Here is a 24,584-nt window from a genome sequence, read left to right as displayed (position 1 = left end):
GTAATTACATCAGCCATGTTTATTCTTTCATACTCTCAGTTCCCTAATTTCCTTTTCTCTTCATTGGGGTAAAAACCAAAAAGACAGAAAGTAGAGGGACCGCAGCCATATTATTCATAATTCCTCTGTGATAACTCCATGATGCCCCTTATTTTTAAGTGAGGGGGTTTTCTGACAGCTGGCTTTTTAAATTCATCTACTAGACAGTTTAAATTTAATGACCAATTTCTTTTTAATAATCTTAGCAGGCCCCCCTAGAGTTTCAGCCATTTAAACAGAACATAACAGAAATTTCCAAAGAAATAAAAGGTGATTTCTTTATACAGCTTCTCACATTCAAACACATTTGCATACATGGCCCATCTGAAAAGCTAGAACTAATGAAATTATGAATGAGATTCTCATTTTTCTATTCTCAGAATCCTCTCCCTCCTGGCATCTTTCAAAACTCTAATCTGAAATTATTCCCTCCAGGAAGTTATCCTTGATTAATCACTCCCAACTCTAATTATGTATTTCTTCATTATATAAACAAGAGCTGTGGATACAGTTCCAGTTAGGTTCACCTTCTCTCGTTCATATATGGATTTAAAGTTTCCTGAGTCTTGGGATGTGAGTGTGTTCTTGGGCAGGGATGTCTTCTGTCTCTGTGTAGCCATTCCTTCCCTCTACCCTCATCCCCAGGACTGCTTTAAGCAAAGACAAAAGAGGAACTTATTTACTGGTGTAATAAAAAATCCTGGGCCCTGCAAATTGCCAGAACTGAAGTGAAATTTGAGCTCTGCTGATACTAGCGGTATGGGGGAAAAGTTAATTTTTTTAAAGCTTGATTTTCTTACGTGAAAAAATGATAAATTCTTTAGAGCTCTTGTGATAAGATATGTATTCAAAAACACTTAAGGATGCTTGTAGATCTTTTTAAAAGTATTTGTTTCCTTAGTGATATGATTGCAGAAGCTACTGAGTCCATGAAATATATTTTTCATCTGTTGTTGACATCTGAAATTCTTTTCCAGAAGACAAAAGCCATTTATGCCAAATTAGAAATAAGATTGAGGCCAGGCACAGTGGCTCACACCTATAATCTCAACACTTTGGGAGGCTGAGGCAGGTGGATGACTTGAGCCCAGGAGGTCGAGACCACCGTGGGCAACATGGCAAAGCCCTGTCTCTACCAAAAAAAAAAAAAAAGTACAAAAATCAGCTGGGTGTAGCCTGTGGTCCCAGCTACTTGAGGTGGGAGGATTGCTTGATCCTGGGAGGCAAAGGTTGCAGTGAACCAAAATCATGCCACTGCACTCTAGCCTGGATGACAGAGTGAGACCTTGTCTCAAAAAAAAAAGAAAAAGAAAAAGAAATAAGGTTGAAATTGCAAATAATCTTGGCGTAAGTAACAATGAACTTAAATACATTCACTCTGCCAGGCATGATAAATACCTGGCCATACATCCCTTCACTGATCCTTCCCCTACCCGTGATTGACACCATAAATTGGTCGGAATAGAGTGTCCCACTCAGCCCACTGCGTGCCTCAGAACTCTCAACACAGGGCTCTCTAGACAGACACTACCCATCAATTAGAGTTTGGGAGGGTCCAGTCGTGCTAAGACATACATCATTGACACCGTTACTCTCTGAAGAGCAGGGTTTGCTTAGAGGATGAGGAGAAGATTAAAGGAAGGGATAAAAGAGCAGCCACTGCTGGATGTGGTAGTGACAAAGGGTACTAGGAAAGAAGGTGCAATTTCTCTAGCCTGATAAGTTTTCTAAGATGTCCCCATGACCCAGAGAGGCATTGCTCAGGGCCCAAGTGAAAGGTTTGGCCCATGAACACGCTGCTTCTTGACCTAGCTCCTCATTTTCACATCTTCGCTGTCCTTACTCTTCGTTGTCAACGTTGACCCACTTCTCCGTTCCAAAGTCCCCCATGTATAACTCCTTTGGTTCTGAGAGGAAATAGGGGGTGGGTTATCTCTAAGGTCTACTCCAAGTCCAGACCCTGCGCTCCATGTTGCTGACTCAGGGTCCATTCTCCACTCAGCTTTCCCTTCTGGATTGACACTTCCACCAGCGGATTCCCAATAACCGGCTGATGATGAGCAAGCCCTGGCAAGCCTCTCCACACCCCGACCCCACAGGCTTCTGCCACCAGGCATAGTCTGATAAGTGGTGGGATGAGATGTAGACTAAAATGGTGAGCCTCGTAATGTTGCCTTGATCCTCACGAGCCTGGATGAGGCCATCCACAGAGTGACAGCCAAATACATGGAGGTCAACTCAAAGTGACTTAGGGGTGGCTAAAGTTAATGACTGTTGAGTATAATTATCTCTCCTACAAATGAACTGTGTGTTTACAAGCTTATCAGGTCTCTTTTCTGAACCTTGGTTTTCTGCTCTGATCAGCGAGGAGGGCTGAACTACTGTGGAGAAACAAACCCCAAGGCTCTGTAGAGAATGGATGGGCCATGGGTGGGCTCTGTGGGGAGACATTCCAGGGCTCCCTAGCTGTGGGAAAGAGTCCAGGAGCTAGTACAGTTTTGCCTGCCCTTTGTTTTCACCAATTCTCATCAGATTCAAGAGAAGCTCTTCTCACAGTAGGGTAGTGCCAAGAAGAGTCAGATGTGAATACCTCACATCACTCTTCATCCATCCATTCATCAGTCCATCCATCCATCGTTTTCATTCATTCTATACATACATACATTATTGTATACATATATCCGTTCTATACATTATTCATATGTAAATATGAAAATACGTAAATATGAATAACATGTCAGGGCACTGGGATACAATAATAAATATGCATATTTATTCATATGTAAATATGTAAATATGAATAATATGTCAGGGCACTGGGATGCAATAATAAACTAATCAGATGTCACCACCACCTTAGGGAGCTACAGTTTATTGTAGGTATAGACAATAAGCAAGTGAGGTGACAAATAAACTAATTACTAATTGTGAAGTTCCTGAGGAAACAAACAGGGTGGTATGATAGAAAATGGTCAGGTGCCCAACGCCCCGCACCCCCGCCGGCCGCACTTAGCGGAGCTTTGCTGGGGAGGCGCCGGCGCGGCGGCTGCGCAGCTCGAAGTTTCCGCGCGAGGTGGGCGGGCCGGGCTGGGCCGGGCGCTGCGGGGCCGGGACCTGGTCTTGGAGCTCTGCGACCGCGCGCTCGCCCTCCCGCGGCGTTTGCAGGCGCCGCCGCCCCTTCCGCCCCTTGCGCGGGACTGCGACCTGAAAAAGTGACTTTTACTCATGTGAGCTGCCTTCAGAGAAGCCTCCTCCAGAAACAGGAGAATGCGTGGCTCTCTAGTGTGGTCCCATCTCTGCAGGGTTTGTGGATGTTAAGGGTCCCAAACCTGCACCCGATGTCACAGGCACATTACTGCCGTAAGGAGCATGGATGCCACACTGGAGATTGACACAGGAGCAGGCTCGGACACAATAGGAGTTTGCACGATGCAGGTCCTTTTTTTTCCCCAGAATTTGACATTGTAGCAGAAACAGAAAATGAGATTACACATGAAATTGTGGAAAAGGAGGGCGACTCAGAGATCACAGGGAGCGTGGGTGAAGCCCTGGAGAAGGGACTGGATTCCATGGTGAAGCGCGAATCCGGGATAGACACAATTTCCCAGAAGTTTAGCACTCAACTACCCCTTGAACCAGAACGGATTCTCAGATAAAGGCAGAGGGCTTGCTGCCATTTGGACTTCTGGTGAAAATATCTTTCAAGAAAAGGGTATTCCAGACTGCCTCTGTGTTGCCAAGAGAATGTTTGAATTCCAGGCCCTGCAGCTGGCCCTGAATCGCCTGAAGGCCACAGACCAGGCAGGAGTGCTGACCGCGCGGCCTCCTGGACGGCTTGTCCTGCGAGGAACACTGAAGCTTAGGAGAATTTGTAAGGACGCAAGATGTAACAGATCCTACCCAAAGACAACATCTTAAAGCCTTAAGAACGTTAATAATCTTATACCTTGCAATTCCATTTCTAGGACTTTCTCCTAAGGAAATAATTATATCAGAGATAGAGGTACAAAGATATTGCTTGAAGCATTGTTTACAATGTCTGAATATTAGTAAAACAAAAAAAATGTCCAATGACGGAATTAAAGAGATTTTGGTACACACACCCACACGAAGAAGGAAAAACATGAGCAACCTCCTTTGGACAGATGGGACTGTGCAATGCCTCTCTAAGAAGGTGACATTTGGGTCGGCATCTAAAGAATGGTCTTTAGGAACCAGCCACACAAATGGGCAAGAGGAAGCAAGTAGGAAAGGTTCAGGCCAGAAGGAATTAAGCGCCTAAGAAGTTAAACAAAACCCAGTGGGGCTGGAGCAAAGGAAGCTGGGGAAAGTGACTGATATAGTTTGAATATTTGTCCCCACCCAGATCTCCTGTTGAGATGTAATCTCCACTGTGGGAGGTGGGGCCTGCTGGGAGGTGTTTGGATCCTGGGGGCAGATACTGCATGAATGGCTTGGGCCATCCTCTTGGTGATGAGTGAGCTCTAGCTCTGAGTTCACAGGAGATCTGATTGTTGAAAAGTGTGTGTGGCGGGGCTTGGTGGCTCACGCCTGTAATCCCAACACTTTGGGAGTCCGAGGTGGGTGAATCATGAGGTCAAGAGATCGAGACCGTCCTGGCCAACATGGTGAAACCCTCACATGGTGAAACCCAGTCTCTACTAAAAATACAAAAATTAGCTGGGCTTGGTGGCGTGCGCCTGTTGTCCCAGCTACTTGGGAGGCTTAGGCAGGAGAATCTCTTGAACCCAGGAGGCGGTTCAAGAGGTTGCAATTAGCCGAGATTGCGCCACTGCACTCCAGCCCGGCAACAGAGCGAGACTCTGTCTCAAAAAAAAAAAAAAAGTGTGTGGCACCTCACCCATTCCAATTCTCTGTCTCTTCTCTCTCACTTGTTCCTGCTTTTGCCATGTGACCTGCCTGCTCCCCCTTTGCCTTCTGCCGTGATTGGAAGCTTCCTGAGGCCTCCCTAGAAGCTGAGCAGGTGCCAGCACCATGCTTCCTGTACAGCCTGCAGAACCATGAGCCAGTTAAGCCTCTTGACCAATTAAATGGCCTAATGTACTGACAACGGATGAATGTGAAGAGGTGAACAGAACTGCAGCCCACAGAATTCTGGGGCCTATAATAGGAAATTTGGGTAGATATTGAAGTGCTTTTAGGCAGGGTAGTTGTATTAGGCCATTTTTGTGTTGCTATAAAGAAGTATCTGAGGCTTGGTAAATTCATAAAGAAAAGAGACTTAATTGGCTCACAGTTCTGCAAACAGTACAAGAAACATGGTGCCAGCATCTGCTTCTAGCAAAGGCTTCAGGAAGCTTCCAACCATGGTGGAAGGTGAAGGGGTAGCAGGCATGTCATACAGTAAGAACAGGAGCAAGAGAGAAGGTATGGACAAGGTGCCACGTACATTTTTTTTTTTTTTTTTTTGAGACTGTGTCTCCCTCTGTCACCCGGGCTGAAGTGCAGTGCCATGGTCTTGGCTCACTGCAACCTTGACCTCCCGGCTCAAGCAACTCCCCCCGCTCAGCCTCCCGAGTAGCTAGGATCACAGGTGGATGCCACCGTGCCCAGCTAATTTTCTTGATTTTTTTATAGAGACAAGGTCTCGCCATGTTGCACAGTCTGGTCCTGAACTCCTGGTTTCAAGTGATCTTCCTACCTCAGCCTCCCAAAATGCTGGGATTACAGGCATGAGCCACCATGCCCAGACGCCACACACTTTTAAACAACCAGATCTCACAAGCACTCACTCACTATAGTGAGGACAGCACCAAACCATGAGGGATCTGCTCCCATGACCCGAACACCTACCGTCAGGCCCCACCTCCAACATTGGGGATTACATCTCAACATGAGATTTGGAGGGGACAAATATTAAAATCCCTCTCTGGTAACTGTGTGCAAATTGGGTAGGAATGGGTCAAGAATAGAAGAGAGGACACCAGTTAAGAGACTAAATGAGAGGGAATAGTGGCTGAGAGAATAGTCTGGAGAAGGGGACCGTCATGTATGTTCTGGAGGTTGACACTGTAGGACTTGCTGATGCACTGAGAGTAGGGCATCAGGGGGAGAGATAAGAGTTGACTCCATGCTTCCAGATCATCGTGCCATTGACTCAGATGAAGGTTCTCAGGAGAAGAACCATCAGGGGCAGGGGTGTGTAACTTTTTGCAGAACAGGTTTGTATGTCTTTCAGTGGCCAATTTCTTCTATCCAGGGGGAATTCTGGGGATGAACTGAGAGAAAAGCAAGATTGAGAACAAAAGGGAATGTGTGCTTTATCTTTGACTGATTGGTTGATTGATTCATTGATTCATTCATTCAACAGATATATGTTGGATACCAATCATGTGCCAGACTTGTCATGTGTGATAAGTGCTATGAATAAAGCGATGTGAGGAGTAAAGAATTAAGAGACAGTGTGTGTGAATGTGTAGGAGGTGGTTTGCTGTTGTATATATGGTGGTTAGTCAAAGCCTCTCTGATAAGGTGACATTTGATTGGAAAGCTGAAGGAGGTGAGGAAGTAAACCACCTGCATATCTGGGGGCATCCTAGGCAAAGGAACTATGAGTGCAAAGGCCCTGCTTGTTTTGTTCCTGGAGCAGCAGGGAGGCCTGTGTGGGTAGAGTGGAGTGATGGAGGGGTGCACAGTGGGAGGTGAGGCCAGAGAGGTAGTGGGGGCCAGGTCTTATAGGGCCTTAGAAGGTCATTATAAGAAATTTGGATTTGACTGTGGGTGAGATGGGGAGCCACTGGAATGTTTCTACCTTTATTGAGGACCCACTAACGAGTCCCATTTGCATTCCTTGTTCCTATTAAATGAAGAGAGTTTCAACCTTGGCTAGTTTGCAGTGAAGCATAAGAAATAGATCAATATCTCACACTATTAGGATGTCTACTGTCAAGAAAAATAGAAAATAAGTGTTGGTGAGGATGTGGAAAAATTGGAACCTTTGTGCAATCTTGATGGGAATGTAAAATGGTGCAGCAGTTATGGAAAACGATATGGAGGTTCTTCAAAAAATTAAAAAATAAGATTACCATATAATCCAGCAATCCCACCTCCGAGTATATATTCCAAAAGAATTGAAAGCATAGCCTTGAAGAGAGATTAGTACACCCATGTTCATAGTAGCATTATTCAAAATAGCTAATAGGTGGAAGCCACTCAGCTGTCCATGGATGGAAGAATGGATGAACAAAATGTGCTATATACAAACGGAGAAATATTATTCAGCCTTGAAAAGAAAGGAAATCTGGTCAGGCATGGTGGCTCATGCCTGTAATCCCAACACTTTGGAAGGTCGAGGCAGGCAGATTGCTTGAAGCCAAGAGTTCGAGACCAGCCTGGGCAACATAGTGAGTCCCTGTCTCTATAAAATTTTAAAAAATTAGTCAGGCATGGTGGCACGTGCTTGTAGCCATAGCTACTCAGGAAGCTGAGGCAGGAGCATTGCTTGAGCACAAGATTTGGAAACTGAAGTGACCTATGATCATGCCACTGCACCCAGCCTGAGCAACCGAGCAAGACCCTGTCTCTAAAAAAAGAAAGGAAATCCTGTCACATGCTGCAACATGAATGAATCTTGACGACATTATGCTAAGTGAAATAAGCCAGTCACAGAAAGAACAAATACTATATGATTTCACTTATATGAGGTATCAAATGTAACTAAGTCCATAGAGACAGAAAGTAGTATGGTGGTTGCCAGAGGCTGGAGGCAGAAGGAATAGAGTTGTTGTTTAACGGGTATAGTTTCAGTTTTGCAAGATGAAAACATTTTGGAGACTGCACAATGTGAATATACTTAACACTGCTGAACTCTACACTTAAAAGGGGTTAAGATGGTAAACTTTATATTATGTATATTTTAGCACCGTTAAAAAAACTTATTATTGGAAAATAATGACTTCTTAAATCAAGATTAATAGCATGTAACCCACACACTACTTTGTTTGAAAAAAAAAAAGATCAAGAATAATGACATAAGTGTATGTACATATTAATAAAAACTGCCTAAGCCAAAAAATATCAAGTATCTCTTACGTAAGCCATTTCACCCCTAAGCAGCTTGAGATATAATATCTGCAGGTGGCAAATTCTGCTATCAGGGACACAATTTAGGAAAAATGGGAAAGCATCCATCATTCTTTCAAAGTTTCTCAACTACCAAAAATCTTATCCATTCCATTCAACCAAACAGCATGTATTGACCCTTGACTACATTTATAGCAATATGCTAGGTACCATGGACATATACAGACAGATAAGACACCCACCAAAACTTCTCTCTCCCCTTTCCCTCTCTCTGAGTCAAAAATCTCTTCCTTCCCTTTGATCTTTGCCTAATTTTCTCTTTGCCACGCCTAAGATATGGTTTCTTTGCTCATACAGTCTTGGTCCATGTTTCTCTGAGCCTCTGAGACCTGGAAAATTGATATTGGCTGGTTGTTGGTAGAACTATTTGCTCTTCTTGAGTGTCATTTTTCCTTGCTACCATCCTTAGTAGGCTGCAGGCTAACCCTTCATTTCCTTTTAGGTGCTGCTTCAATTCCTCTTGCCTCTGATAATTCTCAAAGAAGACCTACAATATATTCAGGCCACTGCCCAATTTTAGAGACATTTCCACCCTAGTTGTCATGGTCAATGTCTGAGCTTTAATGCTTCCTCCTGAGCCGTGGTTCATCCAGCTAAGTCATGCTTAATGATAATTAGAAAAGAGGTGACCGACAGGGGGATTTGAGTCCATGGCTTAGTCATCAGGGAGAGATATTTTTTACTGCTAACTCATATGACAAATCTGTGAAGCACTGTTGGCTACCGTAATTTATTTTATTGAAGTAAGAGGTTGTGTTTTTTCTAACTTTTCAGTTGAGCTTACTGACCTGTATAAAGTCAGCAAAATCAGGTAATTTTGTGTACGCATCTTTGTAGAATCTACACTAAATACTGGCAATTGAGATGAAGTGGATACAGTTGGTGTTCTTTAAATATTTACATCCCAAAGCTGATACAATCACAAAACAGTTCACCACAATGCCATGAAATATTGTATGCTCATGGATTATAATGACTGATTAATTCACAATTGCTTCCCAGGTAAGTTTTAGAAACTAAGCACCAAGGCTCCCCTCTTTGCAGACCTACTGGCCTACCCTGGAATTGCCAGGTGCTCAGCCACTGATCACAATAACAGTGAGAACATTCAGTAGCACCTTCCTAAGTCTTTGGCTTAGTTTTCCAACTGTTGTACTCTGGACTCCCCTCTTTAGTGACTGGTAACTTGGCGTTTTAATTCAATATTAGGCTTCAGATGGCTATAATGTGTTAAGTAACTCTTTTTCACAATGCACATTTATTGAGTTCTCTCTTAATATTCATCAGACATTCCTTAAGAGGCCTCTCAATGGCATGGAAAGGCAATCTGGTTTTGCAGCACATATCTGCACACATCTGTCCATTCCTCAGGAGAACTATAACCACAGCCTGAGTCCCTCCATTTTTCCATATTGCCTTTGGGAGCAAATTTTAAAAACTTAATCCTGCATTTGATAGGTCACTAGCATTTATCTGAGTAACAAGGCCAGTTTCCTGCTGTGCTAAACCTTTCAAAATCATACAAAGCTTCACCTGTATGTTCCTAATCCCACTTCCACATCCTGGCATGGAGTTTGATGTCATAGCCACATTGCATGGGTTTATCCTGCAGAGTGCAAGAGGAAAATCATTCTGGATTTTAGAGAAGAAAATCCAAGACAAGAAACAGAGGTAGCAAGAGAGAGATGTCACTGGTGCACCACTAAAGAAAAACCTCAAGCTGCCAACGTCAGCTCTACAGAGAAATGGGGACTGAAACCAAAGAGAGGGATTTCAGACCTGTGTCAGCTGAAATCTAAAATGCAGTCATTCATTTAGACAATAGCTAGGAAGTTATTTTTATGTATCAGTGACTTTGAAAATGCAATATCAATCATGGTGTTATTTCTCTTGGACCTGGGGCGAAAGGACTCAAGTGGAAGGTTCCCATTACCACAGCGGTATTTCAGGGAGTGAGGAATTTGGGAGGGAGGAAAAACAGTATGTCCCTCATCTGGGGATTTTCTCTCCTCATAACTGATCTTTTAAAATCCTTTATGTAGGGATTTTGCAAACTGACTATGAAAAGGAAAGCCCCACTATCTCTTACTGTGCCATCAACTCACACTGTAAAAGGAGCAAAAAGTGTTTTAAAAGCCAATTTGACCAGAGCTGACTTATTTTACTTTGTTTATCGACAGATGTCAATATCTTTATATTTCTTATCTCCCCAGTGGACTGTAAGCTTCGGGAAAGGCAATAGCTCTGGAATAGTTACTGCGCTACTGGAGTAGTGCCCATCAGACTGTGTGTAAATGAGACTTGGCTGTCAGTCACCCTGGGAGGCGATGCACATTCATTCTCAGGATGCTGCTATTGCTCAACTGATTTTTAGAACTCTGAGAGGGAAGAATTTTCTAACCCTTTCCATTTGCCTTTAGAATTGGTTCATATGTCACCCCAAAATCAATTTTTTATACTTTATAATCATCATATTCCTTTTTTTTTTTGAGATAGAGTCTTGCTTTATTGCCCAGGCTGGAGTGCAGTGGCGCGATGTGGGCTCACTGCAACCTCCGCCTCCTGGGTTCAAGCGATTCACCTGCCTCATTCTCCCAAGTAGCTGGGATTACAGGCATGAGCCACCATGCCTGGCTAATTTTTGTATTTTTAGTAGAGACTGGGTTTCACTATGTTGGCCAAGTTGATCTCAAACTCCTGACCTCAAGTGATCTGCCCGCCTTGGCCTCCCAAAATGCTGGAATTACACGAGTGAGCCATGTCTAGCCACATTTCATTTTTCAAAAAAGCTTTATTGAGGTATAATTTACATATAATAAAATGCACTCACTTTAAGTGTACGATTAGATGATTTTTAGTAAAGTCACAAGTATGCAACCCTCACCACAATCCAATTTTAGAACACCTCCATCGCCTATTCCCATCCCTAGCCCCGGGCAACCACTAGTCTACTTTCTGTCTGCATAGATTTGCCTTTTCTGGATACCTCGTATAAATGGAATCCTATCATATATGATCTTTTGCGACTGGCTTATTTTGCTTAGCATAATGTTTTCAAGGTTCATCCATGTTGTAGTGATGCAGATGCACCCCAAAACTGGAGCTTAGCTTGGTGGGTTCTTGGTTTCACTCAGAAAAGAATTCAAGAATCAGCTGACAGTGAAAGAAAGCAAGTTTATTAGAGCAACAGTGTACATCACAATGGCTGCTCCATAGAGCAGGGCTAACCCATAGGCAGAGCAGGGCTAACCCGTAGGCAGAGCAGGGCTAACCCGTAGACAGAGTGGCCCAGAGCAGCAGTGTACAGCAAGGTGGCCACTCCATAGGCAGAGCAGTGCTGTCCCATAAACAGAGCAGCCTAGAGCAGCAGCAGCAGCTGCAGTCCCAAGCAGGAGCAACAGCTGCCACAGCTGTCACAGATTGCTGGCCAGCTATATTTTTGCCTACTCTTAACTAAGTGCTAATTATGGGATTATTCAGAATTTTCTCGAAAAGGGGCGGGGAAGTTCCTGGAACCATGTAAGGCAACTTCCCACTCGTTACCATGGCATTTGTAAACTGTCTTGGCACTAGTGGGAGTGTCTTTATGCTAAGGAGCAGTGAGGGCAACTAGAGGTTGCTTTCGTCACCATCTGCTGGTTTCCGCCAGTTCCTCTGCTACATCCTGTTTTGATCAGAAGGGTCTGATTGGAAAACAAGTCCATCTACCTCAGTAGCATGTATGAGTACCTCATTTCTTTTTAGGGCTGAATAATATTCCATTGTATGGATATTATCACATTTTGCATAGGCATGGACATTGGAGTTGTTTCCAGTTCAGGGTTATTATGAATAAAACTACTCTGAATATTCACATATGTTTTTGTGTGGACTTATTTTTTTAAAATCAGAAAATATATTCCTCAATTTTATCTTGCCTCTACTCTCAGTGGCTTCGCAACATTGAACATATTCAAAAGAATGAACCATAGGCTCTGAGGTGATGCCCAAAGAAAAGATGTTCTAAAAATACTTTCTACGCAGATAACACCATTGGATTAAGAATATTATCTCCTGAAGGCCGGGTGTGGTGGCTCACGCCTGTAATCCCAGCACTTTGGGAAGCCGAGGTGGGAGAATCACAAGGTCAGGAGTTCGAGACAAGCTTGACCAACAGGGTGAAATTCCGTCTCTACTAAAAATACGAAAATTAACCAGGCGTGGTGGTGTGTGCCTGTAATCCCAGCTAGGAGAATCACTTGAACCCGGGAGGAGGGGTTGCAGTGAGCTGAAATTGCACCACTGCACTCCAGCCTGGGCAATAGAGTAAGACTCCATCTCAGAAAAAAAAAAAAAAAAAAGAGTATTATCTCCTGAAATAATTGTTCTAAAGATGACAATACTCATTTGATATATAAACATAGGTGTATTGTTTGTAAATAGTTAATCTCATGTGTACAACTTAATTACAGCACGCTTGTGAATCTGCAACAGTTTAGCACAGTATTTTGCAGATAGAAGCTGCTTGATAAATATTTGCTGACTGAGTTTTTAAATGCCCATAGTGGTTCCTCTTGGAAAGTAAAATATCAAAAGTTTCAATGTTTAACAGCCTTTTCCCATTTTGTATAAACAAAGCCAAAGCCCTCCGAGAGAACATGACAAGCTATCCAAAGAGCTCCAAGTCACAATTATCTATCAGACAGCCTTATTGATCTTCCTTCAACTTGAGAGGCCTCAGGCAAAGCAATTGCTCTGTAGGCTTGGAGGGGCAGGAAGCATTTGTGTGGGGCCTGTGGGAGCATTGGTTTCACCACTGAATTATGCCTCCATGAGAAACAGCCAGAGGAGCCCAGCTCTTCTCGGCAAGGGCCCTGCCCCTTGCTGGCACGTTTTCTTAGAAGTTGACTGGCCCGGATCCAACATTGGCTAACTTCCTCTCGGTTGCTCCCTTGCACACTGTTCCAAGCCTGTGTGGTCAGATTTGGGCTGTTAACTCAACAGACTCCAACCACAAGGAAACTAGAACCACCCGGTGTCCCCTCTTGCTGACATTCTAGCCACCTTGTTGGCTCTGGGCAGCTGTGAATGCATCTGGGCCTGTGGTCTGTGGGCTCTGAGGCAGCACTCAATGAAATCCCATCTTTAATTGGACAAATGAAGTGTCCTCCTCTGGGTTTCCCCAGTGCTCAAGAAAACAGTGTATGAGAAATGTAGCCAGCGTGTCCACCCACAGCATGAGCTCTTGTGTGCCTCTTCCTTAGAATGGCCGCCCAGGCAGTAGGACCACAGCCCCCAGCACAGGAGAACCCTTCATCCAGGTGTTCAATGCCTCAATAGTTTTCCACTGTCATGTAATCATAAGTTGATTCTGTTTTAATTTTCAAAGCACTTTTTCAAATAGATATCAAGTCACTATTAGCACAGATTTTATAACATTTTAAAATGTATTTAAATAATTATAATTATTTCCCATCACAAAATATTAAATTGCATTCTTACTAGATATCAATTAAAAAATCAATGCACTCAACATTTTCTTGTTTCTTCATTACTTGTTTATCTCCCTTAAAAAAAACTATCAGGCCAGGCGTGGTGGCTCATCCCTGTAATCCCAGAACTTTGGGAGGCCAAGGCGGGTGGATCACCTGAGGTCAGGAGTTCGAGACCAGCCTGGCCGATATGGTGAAACCCTGTCTCTACTAAAAATACAAAAATTAGCCAGGTGTAGTGGCACACGCCTGTAATTCCAGCTACTTGGGAGGCATGAGAATTGCTTGAACCCAGGAGGCGGAGGTTGCAGTGAGCCAAGATCATGCCTTGGCACTCCATCCTGGGCAACAGACCAAGACTCCATCTCAAAAAAGAAAAAAAAAGTATATATATTACTCATTAGCCAATTAAAATTTTTTTCTAGCATTGCTGCTGTCTTAACAACTCTATTCTTAGAATATTAGAGTGCTCTCTACACCTTCCTTTTTTTTTTTTTTTTTTAAATAATAATCCCTAGAAGGCCAGGCACAGTGGCTCATGCCTATAATCCCAGCACTTTGGGAAGCTGAAGTGGGAGGATTGCTTGAGGCAAGGAGTTTGAGACCAGCTTGGGCAACATAGCAAGACCCCATCTAAAGAAATAAATGTGCAATAACTGAATAAAATATTTAGTGTTTGTCTTTGACTTTGTGGCTCACTCTCTGCAGGGCACCTTTATGTTTGTTTGCCTATGTCCACACCTTCACCTCTCTCCTGGTGATACTCTGCTCCCTCCTCTGTCCGTGTGATCTGGGTGATTCTTTCCTCTTCTTACCCAACTATGACTTCCCCACCCAGGAATTGGCAGTGACCCAATTTGACTAATCAGAGCCCTTTTCCAGCTGGAACTGAAGGGGGAGAGGGCTTTTTGCTCTGGGATGAAAATATTCTGTTATTTGTTTAAGAAAGTCCCAAATGGGTTTTATCACTTGCAACAGAAAGCCTTGACTTACATACTTACCTTTCCCTACAATCCTGGTCACAGTCTTTCCAGTCCTGGAACTTTATTACTGACTATTTTTTTTGAGTCAGGGTCTTTCTCTGTTGCCCAGGCTGGAGTGCAGTGGTGCGATCTCAGTTCACTGCAGCCTTGACCTCCCGGGCTCAAGCTATCCTCTTGCCTCAGACTCCTGAGTAGCTAGGACCACAGGTGTGTGCCATCACATCCAGCTAATTTTTTTAAAATTACGAAATTTTTAAGGTGGTACTCACTTATTCTCCCCATATTTCCCAGGCTAGTCTCAAACTCCTGGGCTCAAGCAATCCTCCTGCCTCAGCCTCTCAAAGTGCTGGGATTATAATTACTGATTTTTTTACTTAGCACATTTTTAAACTGTCATGATACTTTTGCTTTGTTTTCTTTTCATTTTATAACCTAATGATTTTTAGTGGCTCTGAGGATCACCACAGATGAGAGATAAGAATAGGAAGGTGTTTAGAAACTCCATCACTGTGGGACATTGTAGAGAACTGGGTGTTCAACTAGGAAAAAGAACAAAACAGCCTAGAGGAAGGGGTGGTAGATATAAAGCTAGTTGCAATTATCCGAAAAGCTTTTAGGTGGAGAGAGTTATTGTTTGTCATCCTGTAGGGCCATTGATTGCTGTAGTTGGAATTTATGGAGAGGCTGACTTCTGTTCTTTATAAAGAGAATATACTTTCTAATAACCAAGGTGTCCCAAAAATGAAACAGGCCTCCACTCAAAAATTAAGAATCCCAGGACTTAGATGTTATCTTTTTAAGGACTCCTGGGCTAGGAATGTAACCTCAAAGATCCTTTTAGTTCTTCAAAGTCTGCGATGTTGAGATGGAGATGAAGGTGAAAATGTTGCTGGTGAGAGAGCTCAGGAATTCTGCCTACGGTTCGAACCAGCCTCTGTCTTATATAGAAACAGGTCCAGATCCCATATCCTGCCATGATCATTAATTTCTCTGACCTCATTCTCTTTCAGTGTTGCCTGTTATAATTTTTATTTGGTATAATAGCAATGTAAGATACCTGGAAAAGGATACCTAAATAATTTAAGTGGTAGCTGGAGGAACTTGCATCTCTGGATCTTGGTATTCTTATGTGTAAAATGGGGAACTTGGACTATCTCAGAAGTCTCCAGGCTTTCCTAGTAGAAATTGAGAAGTAATCCGCAAAGATGGACGGGTGAGAAGATGCAACCTCCAGTGTTCCACATGCAATGCTTTCCAGCTGCCTCCAGACATTGGAATTGTCTTACTGCAGGAGAGGTACATGGAGGGAAGGAAGGCTGAACATGAGGAGATGTACACAGAACTGATTATATAATTTGCAGGGCCCCTTGTTCAAAATAATAAGAATTTCAAGACTGCAATAGTAGAACATTGAACCAAGCATGGGTCCTTGTAAGTGTGGGGCCCCAGGCAACTGCACTAGTTGTTCCTTTATGAAGCCATCCTGAATATGTTACAGGCCAAGAGGCTGTGGCTCCCCATGTAATGAAAATTAACATAAGGCCAAGCAGGTTTCCTGGACAAGGATTCTATTTTGGGGCTTGTGCTAGAGCACAAGAGAGACAGCCAAAGGGAGATAGCAGAGGCAAAAGGATTCTCCAGCTGGCTCTCTGAAAAAAAGCTGTTAGGGATTATTATTATTATTATTATTATTATTATTATTATTATTATTATTATTATTATTATTTTGCCTTGAGATGGAGTCTCACTCTGTCACCCAGGCTGGAGTGCAGTGGAACGATCTCGGCTCACTGCAACCTCTGCCTCCCAGGTTCAAGCAATTCTCCTGCCTCACCCTCTTGAATAGCTGGGACTACAGGAGTGTGCCACCATCCATGGCTAATTTTTGTGTTTTCAGTAGAGGTGGGTTCACCATATTGGCCAGGCTGGTCTCAAACTCCTGACCTCCTGATCTGCCCACCTCGGCCTCCCAAAGTGCTGGAATTACAGGCGTGAGGTCAGGAGTTTGAGACCAGCCTAGCCAACATGGTGAAACCCCATCTCTACTAAAAATACAAAAATTAGCCGGGCATGGTGGTGCACACCTGTAGTCCCAGCTACTTGGGAGGCTGAGGCAGGAGGATCACTTGAACGTGGGAAGTGGAGGTTGCAGTGAGCTGGGATCATGCCACTGCACTGAGATCGTGCCACTGCACTCCAGCCTGGGTGACAGAGCAAGACCCTGTCTCAAAAAAACAATAAAAATAAAAATGAAAAAGTTAAAGAAAAAAAAGGAAGGTGGGATAACTTTGCTTGCTGAATCTTCTGGCTTCCTTCTTTCTCCCATGCTGGATGCCACCTTCCGCTCCTCCTGCCCTTGGACATCAGACTCCAGGTTCTTCAGCCTTTGGACTCTGGGACTTGCGCCCGTGGCTTTCCGGGGTCTCTTGGCCTTTGGCCACAGACTGAAGGCTGCATTGTTGGCTTCCTGGTTTTTGAGGCTTTCAGACTCAGACTGAGCCACTACCAGCTTCTCTCTTCCCCAGCTCACAAACGACCTATCATGGGTTTTCATGATTGTAATTGTGTGAGCCAATTCTCCCTAATAAACTCTGCCTTATATATATACACATGTATCCTATTGGTTCTGCCCCTGTGGAGAACACTGACTAGTACGGTGGAATGCAAGAAAGAATGCCGTAGTAGGGGTGAGCTGAAGCCAAGCTCCATCCCTACCCTGTCTCATGACAACACCCTGTATCAACTGGACCAGTTTAAAACAACTCATTTGAGGCTCCTTGTCTAGATGATTTCAAAACTCTCTTTTGGCTATAATAGAAGATACTTCAATCAATAAATCAATTAAAAGCTTTGCTGATCATCTATATATTAAAAAAAGTTGTGATTCTATGAGTAAGTAATAGAAAAAAACACATAAATGCAGAATTACTAAATATCTCTGAATCCTCCAGAACTGGGGGGGATTCTGGGATGATTGTGGCTTTGACTCATTATCACAATCTGTTTCAAAGAGGCCTGCCAAATAAGGAGATTTGCCTGCACTTTTTTTTTCTTTTTTGAGATAGGGTCTCACTCTGTCACCTAGGCTGGAGTACAGTGGTGAGATCTCGGCTCACTGCAAACTCTGCCTCCCAGTTTCAAGTGATTCTCCTGCCTCAGACTCCCAAGTAGCTGGGATTACAGGTGCACACCACCACGCCTGGCTAATTTTTGTAGTTTTACTAAAGAGAGGGTTTCACCCTGTTGGTCAGACTGGTCTCAAACTCCTGACTTCAAGTGATCCACCTGCCTCAGCCTCCCAAAATGCTGGGATTACAGGCGTGGGCCACCACGCCAAGCTGCCTGCACTTTTTAAACAGACATTTTATCCCCATTATCCCCATTTGTCTTTATTCAGAATCACACACATCCATTTACCCTTTCCTCTGGGATTGGGGTCAATGAACCACACTTCTCTTATTCATTTCGCAACTATTTACCACACTGGAAATATGTTAAGTGCCCCACAGTGTGCTAAGTTCTGTAAGGTACTGGGAGCCAGGCCCCAGCCAGAGATGACTGGTTAGGGAAGGGGAAGAGTTGGCTAAAGGCAGGGAATATCATGAGCCAAGGCGTTAAGGTCAAAATCTTAAACTGGGAAATGGCAAGGAATCCAGTGTGGCTAGAGTATAAGGTGTATATGAGGGAAAATGTAGGAGGTGAATATGGCAAGGGAGTTTGGAGCCAATAGTGGAGGCTTGTGAATGCCATAATAGTTAGTCCTTGAGCCTATGAATAAAAAGGAGTTTTTGAGCAGAGAAGTGCCAAGTTCAGAGCTGCCCTTATAGGGAGTTAATTTGTCAGTCACATCCAGCACTAAAAAGTGGTAGCTATTATTATTATCATATAATTATGTAATCATTAGGACATTTATTTAGAAAAAGTAACCAAGAACAATGTACAGCAATGCCATTTCCCTACAGCGTCCTCCATGTGGAGCATTATCAACTCTTCTTGTCTGTCTCTCCATTTAGTGAGGCCTTTCTTAATTTCTCAGTGTGGAGGTCTTGCTCATCATTCATTAAATTCATACCCATGGATTTTTTTACACTGTTTTATATATATATTACTTTAAAAATCATTTTCAATTTTTCATTATTAATACGTAGAAATGTAATTGATTTTTATGTTAAAATTCTATCCTATAAGCTTTGAAAGAAATAAAAATATTTTACCTCCAAATATTTCTTTGACATATTTTGAGATGGCTGTCAGAGGGCCAGCAAACAGAAGTGGCCCTGTAAAGCTGTCTTATTCCTTCCCATCAAAGAATAAAGGTTTTTGCTTTTTGAAATCTTTGAATCATCACTTTGGCTACATGAATCACTATTATTTCACAGTGAGCTGTGATCCTATTTTGAGCAAGTGTTTTAAACCTTTAGTATCTGACAAACTTTCCAAAATCAAAATTTCAGATTTGAAATTTTCAGGGAGATTTGCATCTGCAGAGAATCTGCATTGATGCAGCCAGGCCTTCCTTTGCCCAGATCTAGGAAAGATTCACTGAGAGACTGACATCTTTAAAGGTCTGAAAAGAAGCATTACCATCTATTCTCTCTGAAGACTGCTACCTGTGAGGTTTCATCTCCATACAAGACAACCTTTGGTGGCCAGGCCTCTTCTTCTTTCCTTCCCAGGACTTCTCTTGCCACCATCACCTTTTTTTTTTTTTTTTTTTTTTGAGACAGAGTCTTGCTCTGTTGCCCAAGCTGGAGTGCGGTGGCACGATCTTGGCTCACTGCAACCTCTGCCTCCGAGGTTCAAACGATCCTCCTGCCTCAGTTCCCCTAGTAGCTGGGATTACAGGCACGCACCACCATGCCCGGCTAATTTTTGTATTTTTAGTAGAGATGAGTTTTTGCCATGTTGGCCAGGCTGGTCTCGAACTCCTGACCTCAGGTGATCCACCCACTTCCGCCTCCCAAACTGCTGGTATTACAGACGTGAGTCACCGTGCCTGGCCACCATCACCATATTTACCATCATAACCTGCTTTGGGTCATGCTCTGAGCCGCATTCTCTCTAACCTCAAGATGGTATAGAAGCTTCTGCACCCCATTGGAGGATTGGGTCTTCATTCTGAAGGCTCCTATGTCATATAAAACTGTGATCAAATACATCTGTATGCCTTTTTTTCCTACTGTAATACTAGCCTTTTGTGAGTTGATTTTTCAGTGAAACTTCTGAGGGCAAAGGGGGAGTTTTTCCCAGGTTTGCCTCAAACTCCTGGGCTCAAGCAATCCTCTTGCCTCACATCCCAAAGTCCTGGGATTACAGGCATAAGCCACTGTGCCCAGCCTATAAAGTTTTATTAAAATTAGCTGTAACATTAATAATACACTGATACAAAGGTAGAATTAGGTTTTCTCTTTTGAACAAGATTTTTGTGTAGTATTAAGGGATAGTAAAATATTTTTTGGTGTACTTTTGCGTAAACTGAAAAAAAAAAAAGGTGGGGTAGAGGGAAGAGAGGGAGAGAGAGATTTTGTTTGCCTAATGGTTTCTATTAGGTCTTATGATTGTTTTGAAAGCTGTATTCCTTCCCATCAAAGAATAAAGGTTTTTGCTTTTTGAAATCTTTGAATCATCACTTTGGCTACATGAATCACTATTATTTCACAGTGAGCTGTGATCCTATTTTGAGCAAGTGTTTTAAACCTTTAATATCTGACAAACTTTCCAAAATCAAAATTTCAGATCTGAAATTCATTCTTTTTGACCTCAAACTAACTTTTTGAATGTTAGGGCCCCTAGACATCCAAGAGAGACATATTACGCTTATTTGGTATGTTAAAATCATATGGAAAGCATTATTAAATAAGAAATGGTGTTTAACTTTTGGAGGGTTATGTTTGTATAAATATGTTACTAATATGTGCTCCAAATTGTATGATTTCCTAAAATTCTGATGTGTCTTGGTATACATTATCAATAATAATTGGAATTATTATGTTCAATTGTTGCATGCCATAAAACAACGAAATGTTCTTGTCAATTGTGTCTGTATTTATGGCTAAAACTTTTGTCACTCATAGACAATTATTGTTTTACTTTGATTCTTCTTTTAAAAAAAGCAGTTTATAATGAACTACGGTCCAAAATTTGCTTTCTCTGAAAGAAATTCAGGGAAGGTCTCCTGAATACAGTTTTCTAACTTTGGATATCATACCATTGGACTAGGGAAAAAAACCTTCCAGGATTCTAATTAAAAAGCTGATGTGCTCATGAGGATTGCTAACCCAACATCAAGCAGAACAAGAGCTAATTACATGGGGCTGAACTAAGAAAGGACTAAAAAACTTTTTGTTTGATACATAGCTAATTCTTTTTATGTTTTGATTTCCAGAGTCAAAAAAAAACAAAAAAAAAACAAAAAAAAAAACAAAAAAAAACAAAAAAAACCCTTTTCTTTTGAGCTATTTATAGCTTACAAGAAATTGGGTAAAGTATACTTCGTGAGCAAAATTTGAAGCATTTATCTTTCTTTCTACCTGATATCTCCAGAATTTGGAAACTTTTTTGATTATTCTTAATTTAGGACAAGACAGCTATTTGCGTACATTCAATATGAATCTGTATTCTTTTGGAGGATTTGACTGGAATGGAATATTTTCAGATATGACCAGATTGCTTTGAGGAATTGAAGTTGACTTTATAGAGCTAATAAAAAACCCAGTTTCTTTGCAAGTTTCCTGACCTGTGTACCTTGACTGAAAAGGTACCTTTACAAGGTACACAGTTTCTTCACAAGGTTCCTGACCTGTGGTAAGTGACGAGTGTTACTTTCTGACGTGCCCAGGAACCTCAAGTTATTTTGGGACCTCAAGAAGAGAAGAATTTACCCAATTCATACAGGCATTGCAGACAGTCAATGATTAATGACAAATCCTTGCCTTGGTTTTATAGCCTCAAGGCTTTTAAAAGTCTAATCTGAGATTTCTTATGAAAATGTTTCCACAAAGCCAATTTGAGAAAAGCCTGTATGGTCAATCACTATTCTTGCTGCACTTTATGCAAATAACCAGGCCAAGTATAATAAGATAAAAACTTATTTTACAAATAAATTTGTCCTGCTATGATTTGTCTTTGGTAGAAATTTGCGGGACTGGGCCAGGTGTGATGGCTCACGCCTGTAATCCCAGCACTTTGGGAGGCCAAGGCGGGCGGATCACCTGAGGTCAGGAGTTCGAGACCAGTCTGGTTAACATGGCGAAACCCCATCACTACTAAAAATACAAAAATTAGCCGGGCGTGGTGGCACATGCCTGTAATCCCAGCTACAAAGGAGGCTGAGGCAGGAGAATCATTTTAACCCGGGAGGTGGAGGTTGCAGTTAGCTGAGATCGCACCATTGCACTCCAGCCTGGGCAACAGGAGTGAAACTCTGTCTCAAAAAAAAAAAAAAAAGAAATTTAGGGAACCGGAGAGAGAAAATTATGTTTCAAAGGAAAACTGTAGAACATCTGTTATTAGATTCTAGCCTTGTTCATTGTTTTTGAGATTTTATCATTTGCCTGCAACTTGTACTGGATCCTGAATTCTTTCCTGGCTACAAGTCTCCAAACTAATGTTGTCAAATTTTTATTTAATTTTTTTCTGACTTGGAATTACTAGAAATGCGTTGACAAACAACAACAACAAAAAAACTTTATAAAATATTTAAAGAGGCTTATCCTGACCCAATATGAGTGACCACAGCCCAGAGAACAGTCTCAAGAAATTCTGAGAAAGTGTGCCCAAGGCTGTCAGGTTATAGTTTTGTTTTATACATTTTAGGGAGACAGAAGTTACAGGCAAAAACATAAGTCAATGCATATAATGTGTACATTGGAGATGTCCCGGTAAGGTGGGACATCTCAAAGCAAGTGCTTACAGGTCACAGGTGGATTCAAAGATTTTCTGATTGGCAATTTGTTGAAAGAGTTCAGCTTTGTCTAAAGATTCGAAGTCAGTTGAAAGACATGCTTGAGTTCAGATAAGGGGGGTTGTGGAGGCCAAGGTTTTGTTATATAGATGAAGTCTCCATATAAAAATCTTTAGAGGGAATAGATGACAAATATCTCTTTTCAGAACTTAAAAGGTGTCAGAAAGTTAGTTAATCTTTCCTAGGTCCAGGAAAGTCCTGACTGTATTAACAGAGATTCTCTACAGATGTAAATTTCCCCCACAAAAGCTGGCTTTGCGGGGCCATTTAAAAATATGTCAGAGAAATATATTTTGGGGTAAAATATTTTGATTTCCTTCAGGATCGGCTGTCATGTGATGCTATGTTTGAGTCAGGTTGGAATCTGGTTATCTTCTTGCCACAAAGAGTCTATTCTGTCAATCTTATGATCTCTATTTTAATGTTAATGCTGGTCAGTCTTGCCTAAACTCCAAAAGGGAAGGGGCATAATGAGGCATGTCTGACCTCCCTTCCCATCATGGCCTGAAATTTAGTTTTATAGGTTTCTTTGGAATCCGCCCCCGGCCAAGAGGGGGTCTGTTCAGTTGGTTGGGGGGCATAGGATATTATTTTCAATTTATAAATTAAAACTGTGTTTTTCTTAAAGTCCTTAAAATCGAAGCTAGACAACTTTAATAAACTTTGAGAGAAATAACATCAACTTATATATAAACAGACTTCATGCCTGATGAGGTATGCAGTACTCAGAAAGTTCACTTGAATACCTAATTCAAACTACAATTCAAAAAAAAAAATCTTTCTGATTGTCATAGCAATCTGAAGATGCTTCAGAGACCAGAAAAACTATGGTACAAGCTACTACAGACATGGCCCTTTGTTTTTCTTCTGTTTCCATACAAATATCTCTTATTAAAGATCTGCTTGCCTGGATCAGATATAGAGGCCTAGCCCATCTGCAATGCCACCTCCTGGAATGGGACACAGCTGTTTAACTGAACTGATCTATTCTCAGGACTGAGAGACCGACTAAAGAAGAAATGGGACGTTATATTTAAATTTGCTCTTTTCTGCTTATCCCAATTTGTCTTTTCACTCTTTTGCCTATCTCTATCTAACAACCTCTAACCCAAAACTCTCCAAAGCTATCAGCGTTGGCTCTTAATATGTAAAGTTTTTTTAAGTTTCAAAGTAGGAACTGGAGGAAATAAAAATATTTTATCTCCAAATATATTTCTTTGACATATTTTGAGCTGGGTGTCAGAGGGCCAGCAAACAGAAGTGGCCCTGCAAAGCTGTCTTTTGTGGGGAGATTTGCATCTGCAGAGAATCTGCATTGATGCAGCCGGAACTTCCCTTGCCTGAATCTAGGAAAGACTAAGAGTCTGATACCTGTAAAGGCCTGAAAAGAAGCATTGACCGTCTATTCTCTCTGAAGATTGCTACCTGTGAAGTTTCATCTACATAACAAGACCACCTTTGCTGGCCAGGTCTCCTCTTCTTTCTCTCCCAGGACCTGTCTTGCCACCATAACCTGATTTACTACCATAACCTGTTTTGGGCTGCACTCTGAGCCTAAATTCTTTCTGTAACCTCAAGATGGTATATAGGCTTTTGCACCCCACTGAGGGATTAGGTTCATTCTGAAGGCTCCTGTGTCACATGAAACTATGGTCAAATACATTTATTTGTATGCCTTTTCTCCTATTTCTATGCCTTTTGTGACTTGACTTTTCAGCAAACCTTCCAAGGGCAAAGGGGAAGCTTTTTTTTTTTCTCCCCTACACTTTGCTAAATTGATTAATTTCTAGTAAGTTTGGGTTTTTTGGGTGGAATTTTGAGATATCATTCTCTAAATACACTCTCATGTTGTCTATGAATAAAGTCCTTTTACAGCTTCCTTTCTAATCTGTAAGCCATTTTGTTCTTTTCCTTGTCTTATTTCAGTAGCTAGTAATAATAGAAATGTAAGAGTAGACATCCATGCTTTGATTCCAATCTTAAGGGGAAGCTTCCAGTCCTTCAACAAGCATCCAGTCCAGTCCT

The 24,584-nt window shown here is 42.1% G+C and overlaps 5 annotated features.

The window, feature by feature from the left end:
• Positions 55–184: an enhancer, noted in NCBI's record as "active region_5647". NCBI's record gives its function as "activates an Ori minimal core promoter by ATAC-STARR-seq in GM12878 lymphoblastoid cells {active_cell/tissue: GM12878}" and the evidence as "EXISTENCE:reporter gene assay evidence [ECO:0000049][PMID:35858748]".
• Positions 3,059–3,158: a silencer, noted in NCBI's record as "silent region_4002". NCBI's record gives its function as "represses an Ori minimal core promoter by ATAC-STARR-seq in GM12878 lymphoblastoid cells {active_cell/tissue: GM12878}" and the evidence as "EXISTENCE:reporter gene assay evidence [ECO:0000049][PMID:35858748]".
• Positions 3,321–3,833: an enhancer, noted in NCBI's record as "H3K4me1 hESC enhancer chr11:121297351-121297863 (GRCh37/hg19 assembly coordinates)". NCBI's record gives its function as "activates a minimal SCP1, AML or CMV promoter by ChIP-STARR-seq in naive H9 embryonic stem cells {active_cell/tissue: H9 hESC(naive)}" and the evidence as "EXISTENCE:reporter gene assay evidence [ECO:0000049][PMID:30033119]".
• Positions 22,711–23,212: an enhancer, noted in NCBI's record as "NANOG hESC enhancer chr11:121277972-121278473 (GRCh37/hg19 assembly coordinates)". NCBI's record gives its function as "activates a minimal SCP1, AML or CMV promoter by ChIP-STARR-seq in primed H9 embryonic stem cells {active_cell/tissue: H9 hESC(primed)}" and the evidence as "EXISTENCE:reporter gene assay evidence [ECO:0000049][PMID:30033119]".
• Positions 23,500–24,379: an enhancer, noted in NCBI's record as "OCT4-NANOG hESC enhancer chr11:121276805-121277684 (GRCh37/hg19 assembly coordinates)". NCBI's record gives its function as "activates a minimal SCP1, AML or CMV promoter by ChIP-STARR-seq in naive and primed H9 embryonic stem cells {active_cell/tissue: H9 hESC(naive and primed)}" and the evidence as "EXISTENCE:reporter gene assay evidence [ECO:0000049][PMID:30033119]".

The sequence above is a fragment of the Homo sapiens genome, chromosome 11 (assembly GCF_000001405.40).
Source record: "Homo sapiens chromosome 11, GRCh38.p14 Primary Assembly".
In the NCBI taxonomy this organism is placed as follows: domain Eukaryota; kingdom Metazoa; phylum Chordata; class Mammalia; order Primates; family Hominidae; genus Homo; species Homo sapiens.
The sequence above is the reverse complement of the archived record's forward strand: the minus strand, read 5'-3'. Positions and strand labels throughout refer to the sequence as shown.